General features: G+C 34.2%; 1 protein-coding gene across 1 annotated transcript in view; it reads left to right on the top strand.

The window, feature by feature from the left end:
- The first annotated feature begins 2,643 nt into the window (after positions 1–2,643).
- The window catches only part of HMGCLL1 (3-hydroxy-3-methylglutaryl-CoA lyase like 1), a 244,547-nt gene continuing 230,969 nt past the window's right edge, over positions 2,644–16,221 (top strand). Inside the window, exon 1 of the mRNA XM_047418902.1 lies at positions 2,644–2,664. Within this exon, the coding sequence (XP_047274858.1) occupies positions 2,653–2,664 (12 nt within the window). The 5' untranslated portion in view covers positions 2,644–2,652. The remainder of the gene's footprint in view (positions 2,665–16,221) is intronic.

Below are 16,221 nucleotides of genomic sequence, written 5' to 3'. Positions count from 1 at the left end.
TGTAAATTCATGTATATGTGCATAGAAATATATTTGGAAGTATATAAAACTGTGCAGATTATGGTTGATTTTTATGAACAGCTTCATAAGTTTTTTAATACCATTCTTGTATTTGCTATTTTTCTTATATGTGTGATAGGGTCACAATTTTATTTTATTTTACATTTTTGTAATTCCAACAACAGTAACTGAATGGAGTCAACAAACCAAATAATAGAATTTTAACATTTGCTATTTGGAAGGATTATCCTTTTCAAACCCTCCTTCCTCTGTCTTCCACAATTTTTTTCATCTCATTGTACCTCCTCTAATAATATGTTAACATTTTAAAAAGTCAAAAATTTTTCATTTGATTTTATTTCCATTAAGTTCATATTCTATGATTCTTGCATGGAACACACATACTGGTTTAGAAACTAACTTAATATGACTAATATAGTTAGGGAAAGGCAATAATATTTGAAAGAAATAAAATAGAAAAACATCAAACAAGTATAAAACCCTTCAAAACCAACAAAAATTTTAAACAAAAGGTCAAATGAAGATTGTTGATTTCTGTGAAAATCCTGCAAATGTGGTGTCCCATGATAAGACATCTAAAAATATTGGAATTGGATTGGTGTGGGCTTCAGCATGAGGTGATAAAATACAGATTCAAGTGGACAAAAAGGGGAAGATTGTGGACATGAGGTTTAAAACATCTGGCTGCAGTTCTGCAGTTGCCTCCAGCCCGTTAGCCACTGACCGGGTGAAAAAGAATATGATAGAGGAAGCCTATACCCTCAAAAACACAGACATCACCAAGGAGCCCTGCCTTCCTCCTGTGAAACTGCCTGCTCCATGCTGGCTGAGGATGCAACTAAGGCCACTTGGCTGGTTACAAACTAAAATAAGGACCCGAGAAAGGAGAGGTGGAGAAGAAATGTGCCCTCCGAGAAGCCTTAAGCCGGCCACACCAGCTGTTTGCCCACCTGCTGTGCAGTCACCTTAGGTGTTCAGAAGCTGCTCACACTGCACAAAACACCTGTGAGATACACACAATATTTGTTCTTCATATCGTGACTCTAATGCAAGCAAAATACAAAGTTTAATTGTTCTGAAAACTGTGGTTTCTTTCAATCCACTTTTATTGCCTTAACTCAGTGAATGTGTATTTTGAATTGTGCGTATGGCCTCAGAACTGAAATTGATCATGAATTCTCAAATGTTAATATTCTCTTAAGTGCATTAATATCTAATTTTACCTGAATTGATTTGGGGGGAAATTACCAGTAGAATGCCTTCATCTGATTATTTGATGGGATCAATTGTTGTACATAAAACAAACCTGCATATATATACACATATATACACACACATATATGTGTGTGTATATATATATGTGTGTGTGTATCTGAATATATATATATATATATATATATTATAATAAAAGAATGAAAGACTCCCCCCAAAAATCAAAAGATTATAAAACTTCTCAGAGATGCTTCAAAGTAACTAGCTTTTTGTGGCAGGGGTACGTAGGGGAGTGACTATTTTTATTCATTTCTTACCAAATAATCATTTTGATCAAAAGCTCATTTAGTTTTTTCTAAATTTCTTTCAACCCAATTGTAAGTCCTTATTTTGTAGTTGGAGAAAATAAGACAATACTTAAAGGACTTGTGTCACAGAGTAAATTAGAACCCACGCTTAATTCTAAATCTTGAATGTTGTGCTAGTAAATGTGTTGTTTTCTAAAGAGGTAGAAAGCACTGAAGGTTTTATTGGACAGGAGAGTAACATCAGAAATATGATATTTGGCAAAATTACTTTGGGCAGTGTGGTAAATGGACTGAAAGGGACAGAGTTAATTGAGCTGAAAACCAGTATTGACGAGCAAAGAGAGCAAAGACTCATTCTGTGGTTTACTTTATGTGTGAGGCCTTAGTCTCACGTTTGGTTTAAGGTGACAGGACTTTTCCCCTGGAAAAGTTGTTTTCATACCCAAGGGCTTTCTCAGAGATATTAAGAAGGTTCCCAGCATCATTACACACAGGCAAAGTCAGAGGTAAGATATTCTCTTTCTCATTTATCTGTTTCACATATTCACATATTGAATATAGAGAGGCATGAGAGGTTTCACATGAAAAACAAGACATCTGTTGTTAAAACTCATTTTTAAAAAATCATATTTTTATAGAGCTCCAGTGTGCAGATAGACAGCTTTAAATTCTATAATTTCATCATCTTTGTTTGAGAATTCTATTATGAAATAATCTGTTATAGCACAAACTGTTACAGCACAGTTTCTTTATGGCATAAGTCACATTGATAATATCTGCTTACAATGGGGATCTTATTATTTGAGAATTAGAAACACAATTAGGGAAAATATTAACCTCTTCATAACAATCCGTTGTGGGACAGGAAGAAAGCTGTTATGAAGACCTTCAGTTTAGCTAATATGGATTGCCTGGAGCAGTGCTACTCAGCGTGTGGTCCGTGGATCTGCTGCGTCTCCTAGCAGCCCAGACCTCCTAAATCAGAGCTTGCATGTTAAAAACATTCCCACATAATCGCAGGCCCATTACAATATGATAAGTTACTGCTCTAGAGTACACCATGGACATGAGTCCAGTGAGTCTGATTCATAGACAAGCACTGACCAAGTTAATGTTAACAAGAGTAAGTATACTCAACAAAATACCAATAATATTTAATAATGCTTATATGTCGGGAATCTGTCTGTGCCCTTTCATTTCTCCTTACTCCTCCACCTCTCACTTCCATTTGTTTTCTAACTGGTTAAAAAAGATAATTCTGTTAAAATTCTCTTACAACCTTGTTTCTTTCCTTGGTCTATGCCAAATGATAGTAACAAACTGGAAAGTCAGTGGGATTATTGTTTTTCTGAATAATGTAAAACTAGTTTTTTTGTTTGTTTGTTTTTGTTTTTAACTAACTGCTGAGCTAATGCAGTGACATCACAAAGAAAAACAGTCCCCTTCTCTCGATGGTTCCTCTTTTTTCTTGCTCAATATCAGTGAGCTTATCAGACTTCGTAGGCATTGTACTTGACAGCTTAGGTGCAATTTTACTATTACATCACTTCCAGTCATTACACATAGGTTGGCCCCCTTAAGACCATAAAGCAGGCTTACTAGTAGCTTATTGTTTATTCATTCCCTGTATTTCATTTTATTTCTTGATTATATTTTATTTAAATAATGTTCATGGAAACTAAAGTTTGTGCTAATGATCTTTCCCTGCCCTTAGTAAACTAGAAAATCTGTGTAGCTGTATCTCTGATAAAGGATTTGGAGGAGAAAGGCAAAGATAGACCTGAATGATCTTTCCAGATATTGGAAGTGCCAAGCATTTTTATTCCTACTTAATATGACCTCACCCATAGCTCTGGTTCTCAAAATGCCAGCCATAAGAGCCAACACCCTGACCTAGAGTGGTTAATAATTTTTCATACATGGTAGCTTCCTGACTATTAACAATCTCATAGTTAATTTCAGCATGGTATTATGAGAAGAGTCTGGAGGCTAGAGTATGTTCATGAATCTAGTTTGTACAATGACACAGTCTCACTGAATGCCTGGGGTTAGGTAATCAACATCAACCTCATCCATTATTGTCAGACACTAATAGTAAGTTCTTACACGTTACAGATAGACATTGAGGCAGCCAAGATGCATAAAATACAATGTCTTCCATAGTTACTTTATTGGATAAATGTGAAAATTAGGTGAAATAAATAAGAATGGCTTTTGAAGCAAAGGTTACTGTGATATTATCACTTATAGGTTGTGTTTTATTTCACACTCTTAATGAACTGTAAAATTGAGCCACAAGTAGACTGGATTAAGTTATTTAGCAAAATAAGCACCTCCCTGTGTAGTCATTTGATAACAGGTATCACCCTAATGTAGGAATTATAATATTCTCTGACAAATTAAAGACACACAGACTGTAACTGAAGAATTACTTTAGTGCAATCCCCAAACCAAGGAATCTTAAAAAGAAATTTGTTCCAAAATACTAACCCATATGTATAAAGCAGTTTTTAACATCATAAGAAAAACAAACTTGGATGTTAAAAGTGTAAATTGTAATGAAGTAAATTTCTCCTCACAATTTGTCTCAGGCTTTAAAGATTATTATGTAGGAAATATTTTGTGTATGTGTCGGGGGGGTTGTTTCTGTTTTGTTTTGAGATAGGGTCTCGCTCTGTCACCAAGGCTCACTGCAGCCTCGAACTCCTGGGCTCAAGCAGTCTTCCCACCTCAGCTTCCCGAGTAGTGGGACCACAGGTGTGCAGCGTCATGCCTGGCTAATTGTTTTGTAGAGTCGGAGTCTCACCATATTGCCCAAGCTGGTCTCAAATTCCTGAGCTCAAGTGATCCTCCTGCCTTGGCCTCCCAAAGTGCTAGGATTACAAGCGTGAGCCACTGTGCCCAGCCGGAAGTATTTTGTAAAGTCATATTTTTAAACTGTCCTGTTATCTGGGCTTGAAAAAGCCTAGAAATAACAATTATGTGACATTTGCTAACACTCAGAGTATATCTACCACAATAGCACCCCTTTCCACAACTATAACTATGTGCTAGTTGCTGTTGCATCCAAGTATACGAAGTAATAAATAGGCCCCAAGTGCCAAGCAAATGCAAAAGCAAGTAAAGTATTTTTCCCCGCATGCGGGAACCATCTCTTATGAACTTAACTTCAGTCAAGATAGACAGTTTGAACTGTTTCTACACTGCATTTATTAAGACACTCTTTTTATTCTTAAAACCAAGCTATTACATGGGTTCTTTTATGGAAACTGTGGACAATCAAAAGATTTGCAAATTGAAGAGTTTTATTGCAGTGTTTGTTTCAAGCATTCTTGAAAGAAAGTGTATGAAGATTATTACAACTTTGGAGATTTCAGATACTGTAAAAAATATGCTCAGCATGGGATGCTATGCTGTCCCTCCACTGCCATTATTAAGTGTAGGCAAATGTGTAATAAGTGGGAGGAATGCTTGGTAAAGGGCCATGGAGAAGGGGTGAGGAAAAGGGAAAAATTTAGGCCATACTGTTGCTGTCATTACTTCCTCAATGCAAGGCCATTTAATGAACTTAGCATCCACAGGTTTTTATAAGGCAATATAGTGTTAAAATTTTGGAAGACGTTGGTCTGAATATTGACCTGTTTTGGTATGCCATTTCTCATAAGATGGTAGAGGGAGGAAGAGAAATGAAGGAAAATTTGCTATACTTGTCTCTAGTGTCAGTAGTTTATGGTAGCTGAGACATACAGCCCCTTGTTTTTTTTGTTTATCTTTGTTTGTTTTTATATTTGTACATTAAGCATAAGAGTGTTTGTTCTGTGATGTGCAGGATTTTACTTTAATGGTTATTAAAAGTTTGAAAATGAGTGGTGTTTGGTATTAACCAGCTGTGGCCTTGAGTGATGAAATTCTAAAAATATGTAGTGTGCTTTCTCAAAAAGCATATGCCTTAACTATTTGGAAATAATCAAACACATAAGGCCAATCTTCAGGCAAAATTGGCTGTAGGTGGCCAGATAAGCATCCAATTCTTGATTTCAAGCATTGCAGCTCAGAGCTTTGATATGTAAATGGGAAATGATTGTATTACTAACAATTCTAAAATGAGTAATAAAAAACATTCCTATTTTATTTTGTGTTATAATAAGAATTAGCACACACACACAAACACAAAGAACGATGTAATTAAAGTTACAGTATTAAAATGAACAATAACATCAAACATTCACATTTTATTTTGCATTCAGATGGAATAAAAATAAGCACACACACACAAAGAGTGATGTCATTAAGGTTACATGGATTGAAGGAATTTTAAGGGTTTCAAAGAGTAGCGCATGACAGAAGAGAGAAGCAGTGATCATCACCATAAGTGTTTCCAGACTAAATTCACTTATTACTTGTTATTTTACATTGTTGGTCTCTCAAATGCCTTAGGAACCTGGAACCTAGAATTCCAATAATCACAGTAAGATATCTAGGCATTACATCCTTTAGAAAAGAATCAATCATTGACATTTCAGTCAGTTTGAATATGGCCACTGACACCTGAGAAGACATAATTTATTCCAAAAATGGAAAACATTTTATTGTTACTGGCAGTGTTAATATAATACATATAATAGTAATTTTAGTGTGGTATATGCATGTTTGAATAGTACTTCTTATGTTCAAGGCTAATGTTCAGTAACAAGCCAATTAGGTGAAACACCACTCAGAAAAGATAAGAATAGATTGGATAAAATATGTGTGTGTTCTCTAGTATTTTTTCTTTTGCCTGTATACAAAGATAAAATTTACTATCGAAACTTCTGGTGAATAGGATTTTCAGCACATCCTGTGCAACTTCCAGTGATTGCATTCTACCTTATGCCCATGTTTACATGGAACTTTTGATTTAATTCCTTTGATCAAAAATATTTATTTACAATGTTATTGGATGATGCAACAAAATACTTCTTAGGCACAAGTAAATGTTTTTCTTTCCTTCTTCCAGCATGTATCAGTATGACTGGATTTTTGTCTTTTATGAAATTGTTTAAATAATATTTTCAAACATTAAACTCATAGATTTCTTCATTTCTTTCCACTTCCAAAAGAACATGGGATCATTATGCCAACTCAGCAGATGTCTAATTTAAATTTCTCTTGCCTTAATTGAAGCCTGTCTCCTCTTCCTTTTGGTTTGCTGGAAAAAGAGAACAGCTGTTGGACATCATGCTCTTACAATAAGTCTGTCTTTAACGTTTTGTTTTTCAGTTCCTCTAAAAGCCCTAAGCCCTGAATTTTTCCTCACAGGTCCTATTACCCTTGCTAACTTTGTTGGATGCAATCCTATAGTAACATTATCATTGTCCCTCATTTGTAGAGCCCCAAATTAGGAAGCGTAGACTCATAAAGACAGAAATTTCAGCAAAAGTATGGTTATCTAGCTCATTTGCATAACCTTGTAGGTAGTTATGATAATAACATGGAGGAAAGGTAAATTTACTGATTGCTTGTGATCTTTAATTGCTTTTCACAATTTAGTGCTTTTGCATTGCATATTTTAAAGTTAGTTGTTCTCATTACCAATGACCTAAATTAAATTGAACATTTTTCAAATTTTTTTTTCTTTTTTTTTTTAAGACACGGATTCTTGCTTTGTTGCCCATGGCTATCCACAGGCATGATCATATCACATATAACCTTGAATCCCATGCTCAGCAAATCATTTATTCTACTTTAAATTAGGTATCTCTTTTGTAAATAAAGGCCAGAATGAGTCATAAAACTAACTTACTTTTCCTTTATATAACTTGACACCATATTCTATTGATTCCCTGAAGTCCTGTGGGAGTCAGGAATATAAAAAGATAATGGCATCTAGAGAATAATTTGATAATGGTAACATGTATCAACATCATTTTCAACTAGAAACATTACGACATGCTACTACTTTGGAAGCAATCCCTTTTGTCCTTCTTTACTCTCAGCCTACCAATTATCCATCTTATTCCATTTGCATTCATTGATATCAACACAATTTTGTATAGTACAATAGTTAAGATAACAAGTTTTAGTTTACTTCTGGCATTTTTTAAATCTCTCTGATGTCTTTGAAAGTTCTGAATGTTCTTAAGCCTAAGTCTCTCAATCTATAAAATAGTAAACAACAAAACTGACCATAACATTAGGGTCAAAACAAAATGGACCATTTAACATCATATTAAATATGATAATATATTTGAAATACTTTGTAAAGTATCTGACACACAATGAGCAGGAAAAGTATTAATACTAGTGTTGCAATTATATTATTTTTATTATTATCATCATCCCTTAAGGGGCATCACTACCAAAATAGTTTGCTATTATGCATTATTTGTATCTAATTTGCAGCAAATTATTAATCTTAGCAATATTTTAACGTGACTGCTTTTAATCCCATCTTGTTTTTATTTGCTTGTTTAATTCTGTTAACGGTGTTTGCTATTTTCTCCAAAGCATGTTCGTTCGCCCTTGTGTAGGTTTAAAACTTTATTCCCAACTTGTTTTTACATTTTATTTTATGTCATGTTGCATCAGTTATCTTTATGTAAATAGTTTGGGTCTTTATTTCATTTTTTTGTAATATTGGTAATCATTGGACACAGGGAGAGCATGATCACCATATAAAATACATAGTACAGGCTCAGTAACGCTTGCAAGCCGAGGCTGATAAGTGCACATGGCTTTTTACACTGTGCTTACTTTGCTTCTAGACAATACCAATAGGCTAAGTATAGCTGGATTCTCCACTAAGAGAGAAACCAGTTTCCTGCCTCCTTGCATATTTATACAGGAGCTATGAGGAGACACACCTCACCTACAGAGTTGGAAATCTCTGAGTTTTCAAATTAGGTTTAAAATCTTGCTGTTATGAGAAATGGTTTATATTTGGACACTGATTCCATAGGAAGGTTGCATAGGTATCAGCTGAAGGCCTCTGCTAAGGGACTTCTTTTTATTTCTCCTTAGAAAGAGCTATAAGGAGTATCCAGTATATAAACTGAGTTGTTAATAATGACTGTCAAATGGGAAAATTAGAAATCTTAGTCCTGACATACTTAAGAAAAAATTCCAATATTAGTGTGCCTAAAGGTTTTCCATGTGAATGCGTAACATGCACTTAACTTGTGATCAGTTTTTATAGCTAAATCAACCATTTTACTTCACACATGCAGAAGTGCTGATTACTAATAACACACAATGGAAAACTCAAGTGGAATATAGTCTCTTATCAAGAGTAGATTCTATATATTATTATAGTATTTTGCAATTACATATAATAGTAGTTTTAGTGTGGTATATGCATGTTTGAATAGTACTTCTTATGTTCAAGGCTAATGTTCAGTAACAAGCCAGTTAGGTGAAAGTGATTTGCAAAGTATTCCAATTTGCTTTTGTTGCTCTTTCTGTGTTATTACATACCCTCGAACTGGAAACAAACAGGATTCTTCCTGTCTTCAAGGAAAGAGAATGCTGTTCAATTTGATTATATTATATTTGATTATTTTAAAGGAAAATAGTATAGGTTAGGAAAGCAGGTTAGATATAGCTATAAACGGTGAAGGATTTGATGTCATAAAAAGAGATTAAAAGTGTATTCTTTAAACTAAGAGAATTTGAGCTTAATAAATAAATTTTCATTTTATAAAACTTAAATTCACAAAATTAATTTTTATTTATTCTAGAAGATACAGATGACATAAAATTTGCAGACAACATTTTAAGCAATCAGTAATTTTAAAGGGTAATAAAGTAGATTAGTTTATTTCTTTTGGCTGTCTTTTCTGTAAATGTATTTTTAAATATAATTGAAACTATACAGATTAAAAAATTAAGATCAGTTATTGATATTTGAAAAAATAATGCATTCTCAAGAATTAAAATTTAAAAGGTACAAAAGGATAGACACTGAAAATCTTCCTCTGTCCCCTGGTTCCCTGTTCCTCTTCCCAGAGGTAATCAATATTATTAGTTTATGCACCCTTCTGGGCTAATCAGGAGCATATGAACACACAAATACATATCCACTAAAAACACATACCCTGTAGGCTAGCATATTCTTCACTTTCTTTTGTATTATATCTTTTTCAACCAACAATGTATCTAAAAATTATATTGTGTAATATTCATAATATGTTTCATTACACTATGTTTTGTAATTATTTAAGCAATACCCTAATAATGGACTATATCAACCAGAAGAAGAAGATACGGCTGCTGTAAAAAAAAGAATCCCCAAATTTCAGCAGCTTATACAATAAAAGTTGAATTTTCATCCATGCTGCATGTCCATTGTTGGTTTCCCAGGTACCTAACTCCACGTAGTTCTTTCTCAATGGATCAAGCTGATAGAACCTCCAACATTTAAATATGAATAAATGAAAAATCTCAAGTTTAAGTTTTTATATGTCTTTGCTGGTTTTCTACCAGTTGTACCTACTACTAGGAGAGGAGTGAGGAGTGTTGAAGTCTCCAACTAAAATTTCATATTGTCCTTTCAGTTCTGTTAGTTTCGCTTCATGTAAAAAGTCTTGTTAGAGGTTGTAATAGTTTTTTATTTTTTCAGAGTAAAAAATTATCACAACCTCAATGGCTTTAAATGACTTCCATTTATTACCTCACGTTTCTGTAAGTCAGACGTCCAGGTGGATTCTATTGGGTCCCAAAGAGCAATGGCATATAAAGTCCTTTTCATGCTTCAAATCTCTCCAACTAATCCCACCAGTCAGAGAAAACTTTCAGCTTTAAACTCAACACAATTGAAACATTCCTTTTACCAAGAAACGTAACATATTCATGGGAGTGGTATTTCATCCTATTCACTGCTTCAGCCCATACTCAAAGGAAGGCAGATTATACAAAGGCAAAAGGTCAAGGATCATTCTTCGAATTTCACTTATTAGAAGTGAATACACATTTAAAATGGACCCTTTTATCATTGCGTAATTTTCCTTTTTATTCCTGGTAATTTTCTTTTCTCTAAGGCCTATATTGCCTGGTATTAATATAGCTACTATAGCTTTCTTTGATTTCCTTTACTTTTAATCTGTCCTTATCATTATATTTGAAGTGAGTTTGGTTGGGTCATGCTTTGTATTCACTCATAATCTCTGTTGCAATTTGTTTGTTTAGATTATTTACATATAATGCAATTATTGATGTTGCAATTATATACAATGCAATTATTTGTTTATTAGCAAGTGATTTTATTATTTACTTTCTGTTGGTTCCTACTTTTTTTATATGTTTCCCCTTTTCTGCCTTCCATTTGTAATTTTCATAATGTATCTTTTTACAATGTTTTATAGTGGTTGCCCAAGGATTATAAATCCATACTAAACTATTAACAGTCTATTAAGAATTTGTATTTTACCACTTCAGTAGGAATATGGAAACATAACTATATAAATTCCTTTACATTCCCCCTTTATGATGTAGGTATCTTATTCATTACATCTACATATATTGACAATCCTAACAATGTTATGTTCTTTGCTTTCAAGCATCGAATATATTTAATAGACCTCAAATGGAATAAAAATGTAACATAACTCAGATGTTTACCATTTTGTTGTTACTTGTTTATTCATGGTATTTTCTTCTGGTATAATTTCTGTTTTGTCTGAAGTACTTTTTTTTAACAATTCTTTATTAAATAGCAGGCCTGCTGGCATTGAATTATCTTAGTTTTCCTTCATCTGAGAATATCTTTATTTCTCTTTCATTATGGAAGGATATTTTTTTTGGAGATAGAATTCTGGAATGACAGTTCTCTTTCCAGGCTGAAGAAAAATATTTTGTGACACCTGTCTGACCTCCATGGCTTATAATAAGAACTCCATAGTCATTCACATATTTCTGCTCCTATAGGGTCATGTGTCTTTTTGAGTGTGTGACCATTTTCAAGAATTTTTCTTTGTATATAGTCTTCAGTATTGTCATTATGATGAATCTGAATGTGAATTTCTTAGGATTGATTCTATTTGTAATTTAACTTCCTAAATCTGTGGTCATATGTTTTCCACCAAATTTAGAACATTTTTAGCTGTTACTTTTTCACATTTTTAAACCTCTAGAGTCTGTTCTCTCCCGGGACTTCAACAACATCATTGTTAAATATTTGCTGTTGCTCCACATTTCCTTGAGGCTCTGTTCATTTTTTAAAAATCTTTCTTCTACCTTTTAAGATTAGACAATTTCTATTGATCTACCTTCAAGTGTTTTGGCTCTTTCCTCTGTCGTTTTCATTCTGCTTTTTAATCTATCCAGTGAGCCTTTAATTTGGGTTATTGAATTTTTCATTTCAAAAACTTCCATTTGATTCTTCTTTGCCTCTTTTATTTATTTGCTGATACTTTGTAGCTTAATATTTGTTTCAAGACTTCGTGATGGCTTTTTTGAACATTCTTATAATAGGTATTTTAAAGCCTTTTTCATCTGTGTTATCTTGTTATTGGTGTCTATTGATTGTATTTTACCATGTAATTTTAGATTATTTTTTTCTTCATAATCCAAGTAATTTTGGATTACATACTGGGCATTTTGAATATTGTGGGGCTGAGTCTTGTTTAAATCTCATGGAGAAAGTTGATGTTTTTTAGTTCAGCAGGCAATTGACTGGTTTGGCTCAGACTACATGTATCAACCCAGCTTTTGTAAGCTGTTTCCAAAGTCAGTTTAATTGCCAAAGTTGTTGCAGTGTTATTCAAATTTGTTTCATGTGTACATCATTCACTGTTCCATGTGGGACCTGGAAGGAAATTGATCCATTTATTCAGTTGGCGAAACTTTTGTATGCTACTAATGATAGATCCAGGCATGTTCAGGTTGACAGTGACTCCAGGAATTAATAAAACATTTCTTTTTTTTTTTTTTTAATTCCTCCTTCTCTACTGTTTTCTTGGAACTTTCTGGTTTCCACAGGCTCTAGTTGTTGGTACTTTGGCCAGAAATTGTCCACTTCTATTACTGTGCGAAGTCTGAGGCCATGTGGTAGGAGGACAGGGAGAAGAGGAAAAAAGAAATGGGTTAGTCCTCACCCTTTTGAAGACACAGCTCTACCAAGTGGAAAGGAAGGTTTCCCTCCCTGGAGTTGTATACCCTACTGATTCCTGTTGCTGGCCACTACTGGTGCTGCTGCTGTGGTACCAGTGAATTGCCTGGGGGATAAGTCATGAGCGAATACAGGAAAAATGAAAGAAAAATAACCACTTGGCTGATTTCCTCTACTTTCTCTGAGATCTGGCAGTTTCCTTCCCTGTTCCCTGAGCCAGGCTTCTCTTAAAGCTCGCTCTTTAACACAATGTTCACTTCCGGGTTTTTGGCTGCCTTGAGTTCAGGTCAAGGATATTAAAGGAAAAAAATGTAAACTCACCACAGGCTTAGTGGTGATTAGAATTCTGGTATCTTTTCTTTATCCACATATTGCTATTTCCTTTTCAGACTCCTCATAGTCCAGTACATTCAATCTGCCTAGGTTTTATAGTTACGTAAAGTGAGAGAGATGGGATGGGATGTGATGTGTTTACTTTATTTTACCCAGAACCAGAGCCCCTAACTTACAGTTCTTAAACATAAGCAATAGAAGCTGACTCTGGCTGATAAAGAAGAAAAGCTTTTAAAAGGTTATTGGGTAATTTACAGAAGTTTTGAGAGTGTTAAGAACTAGCCGGAAGGCTATATTTTAGGGACAATTCTGTTAACCCTGTCACAGATCCTGCTGGATCAGGGAACACCTGCTACAAGAACAAAGTTGGCATTTGCCAGAAACTCAGCTTTCTCACAACAGCCATGCTGTCAGCAGTGATTCCATCTCCAAAGCCAGAACTCAAACATCCATTTTAGCCCGAAATGCCTTCTTGCTCAAGTCACTCACATCTAAATGAAAGTGTCTCATAGGTGAGTTTAATTTGTACAATCCAAGTCATGTACTTATATTTTTAACAGTGACAGTGTGCCATAGAAGTGAATTCTCTGGGCTCTACTTCATGGAGGAAAATTCCCCAAGCATAGTCAGGGCATTCAAAAGGTATTGGGCAACCAAGAAACATAAAAAACATAAAACAACTTAAAAATCAAAAAATAAAAAAAAAAGTCTGTTGCATTTAGTGTATATTGTATAAGAAATGCCGGTCCTGATTTATTTACTAACAATATGTGATCTATTATGCTAGGAAAAGCATTCATCTGTTCATATTCCTAGAAAGTTTAGTAAAATTAACAGGTATTTTACGTGTTTTGATTGTGGCATTGAACATTGGTAGATAAGGAAAATATTTTATAGATAATGTTCTCTCCAGTTGTGCTTAGAATTTATAATGTTATATATGTTTCCTTTTTATGATTCTGTGCTATAAACAAATCACCACCACCACCAACAAAGCACAAACTGGCTTCTTTCCCTCTGAAGTATTTATGTCTTAATGTGTAGAGTACAGAACACAGACTCTGATGTGAAAAAGCCTCCTTTGTACCGTTTCTTGTCACTTATTAGCTGAGTAGGCTTGGATAAATTACTTAGCTTCTCTGCATCCAGGATTCTTATCTTTGAAATGAGGGTGATAATATCCGTTCCAATCCTATAGAATTACTGAGAGGATTAAATGAGGTAAATGTAAACCCTGGTACATAGTACACACTTGGTAACTTCAGCTATGCTTAGTATTATTAATTTTTAATATGTCAATAAAATAGAGTCATTTATTTTTGCCCTCTAAGATAATCAAAAGTATCTTCAATGTTGAGTAGAATGAAAATTACTTGTTACAACCAATGAATATTTTGTGATTTGTGATGCACTCTTTGCAAGTGATTCATAAATTAAAGGGCTTCTCAATGCTAAATATTGTCCACCTTCTTGTATGTGGTGGACTTAGAAGGTAATTAGAATCTGGAATATCTCTACTGGAAACCCACTTATGCTTCTTTTCAAACACAAGATACAATGCTCTTCAAAGTTAAGAAGGCCGGGCAAAGGTCAATGGAAACTCATGAGTTTTACAACCTAGTCTGTTTAAGAACATGATGTGCAGGAGCCCAAACTTTTGAAAAAAAAAAATAAAAGATTGTGAGTGTTTCCTGGCTTCTATGTATAATGTTGTAAAAGAGACTCAGTTGCGATGTCTTTTGGTACTCTCCTCCCATGTCTGGTTAAGGGATGTTCCATGCAGTTTTGGCAGATGATGTGTCCAAAAATTTTGAAAAATTTAACTGGTGCAGCTTTCTAAACTGGCTGCTACCCATGCAGTAGGATTTGTTTCCTTTTGGTATAAATCAAACATTTAAGATGATAGCTCAGAGAAAATAATTTGAGATTTATTGCTTTGGAAAGAATATCTGTGTGAGTCCTCCATGCTCCATTAGCTAGAAAATATTAGAGTAAAATAAATGAGTCCCGCTATGAATCTATGATAATTTGTGGCCTGGTCTCTCATAATAAAAAAATAAAAACTCTAATCTTTACAAGGCTTTAACATGTAATATTAGATGCAATAACATGTAATTTTTTTTTCTTTGACATGGCAAGGGGTGGGAAAGAAAATATAACTGCTTTTGCTTAAGGACTTTGCCTACCCTGACTTTAACTCGGGCACTTCACAAAGTACAGTAACTGATTTCTGAAACTTTGAGTGGATAAGAATGTGGTTTTCCTTGAAGAGGGTTAACTGATTACTGAGTACCCTGTGGGTTAATTCTTGAAATGGGAAACTGTTTCTGGCATACAGTCCTGTTTAGTTAATGCTGTTTCTAGGCCCTATTTATAAAATTATTTGCATGGCTGGATCATGCTGGTTCCATTACTTTTTTAGCATACAATTGGGACTTTCTTGTCCACGCTTGATTCAGAACCAAAAAAAAGAGGGTTTATAGAAGTACATTCCTGTAGGGGAAAAGCTTGTGAGCTGAAAAGTTATGAGCGTAGGGATTCCTTTCCTCTGCCTCTCTCTGTTACTTCATTCTCAGAAGCTTATGTTCTAGTCAAGGGAACCATAGTTTCTCATATGGTTATTGTGAGACAATATGTGGCCCTTCCTGTAGGTTTCAGTTGTATAACTAATAATTTATCAATTTGCCCAACTTTATAGTAGGTATATCATTTTATCTTTATTATATAACATAACTTAGAGTTCAGAAAAATAAACGTTTCAATGAAATGTTTCATCTACTTATCTTGAGAAATTTTAGAACAGGCTGTATTGAGGACTTTTAGCAATAATTTAAATAATTCCTCATGTAACCAATTCAGTTAACATAAAGGTATTTTGTACCATAGCAGAGATTTGAGACAGATGACTTTGCAGTAATGTTTTAATTCCAGTTAAAAGCCCAAGAGAATTTTCCAACAAGGATAAAAAGAAAGGCTTTGGCTGGCCTTGGATGAAGAAACAATTTCAACAGCTGGACAGTTGTGGGGTGGGGAAGGAGGCAGGTAATGTACTTAGTGAAACAACCAAGAGAGGGAGTACCACTTGTTTCAGCATTGGAATCTCTTCCTAGTCTTATATTCCTCAATCAACTATAATCCTACTAACATAAAAGAACAGCCTAATTATGAAAATGTGTGCACTTAAATTACCTTGTGGCTGCCCTGATGAATGAAAACTTATAGATGACTCAACAAGGGAGTGTATTCCTACTTTACAGCCACACC

This window comes from Homo sapiens, chromosome 6 (assembly GCF_000001405.40).
Source record: "Homo sapiens chromosome 6, GRCh38.p14 Primary Assembly".
In the NCBI taxonomy this organism is placed as follows: domain Eukaryota; kingdom Metazoa; phylum Chordata; class Mammalia; order Primates; family Hominidae; genus Homo; species Homo sapiens.
This window is presented reverse-complemented; position numbering and strand designations above follow the sequence as displayed.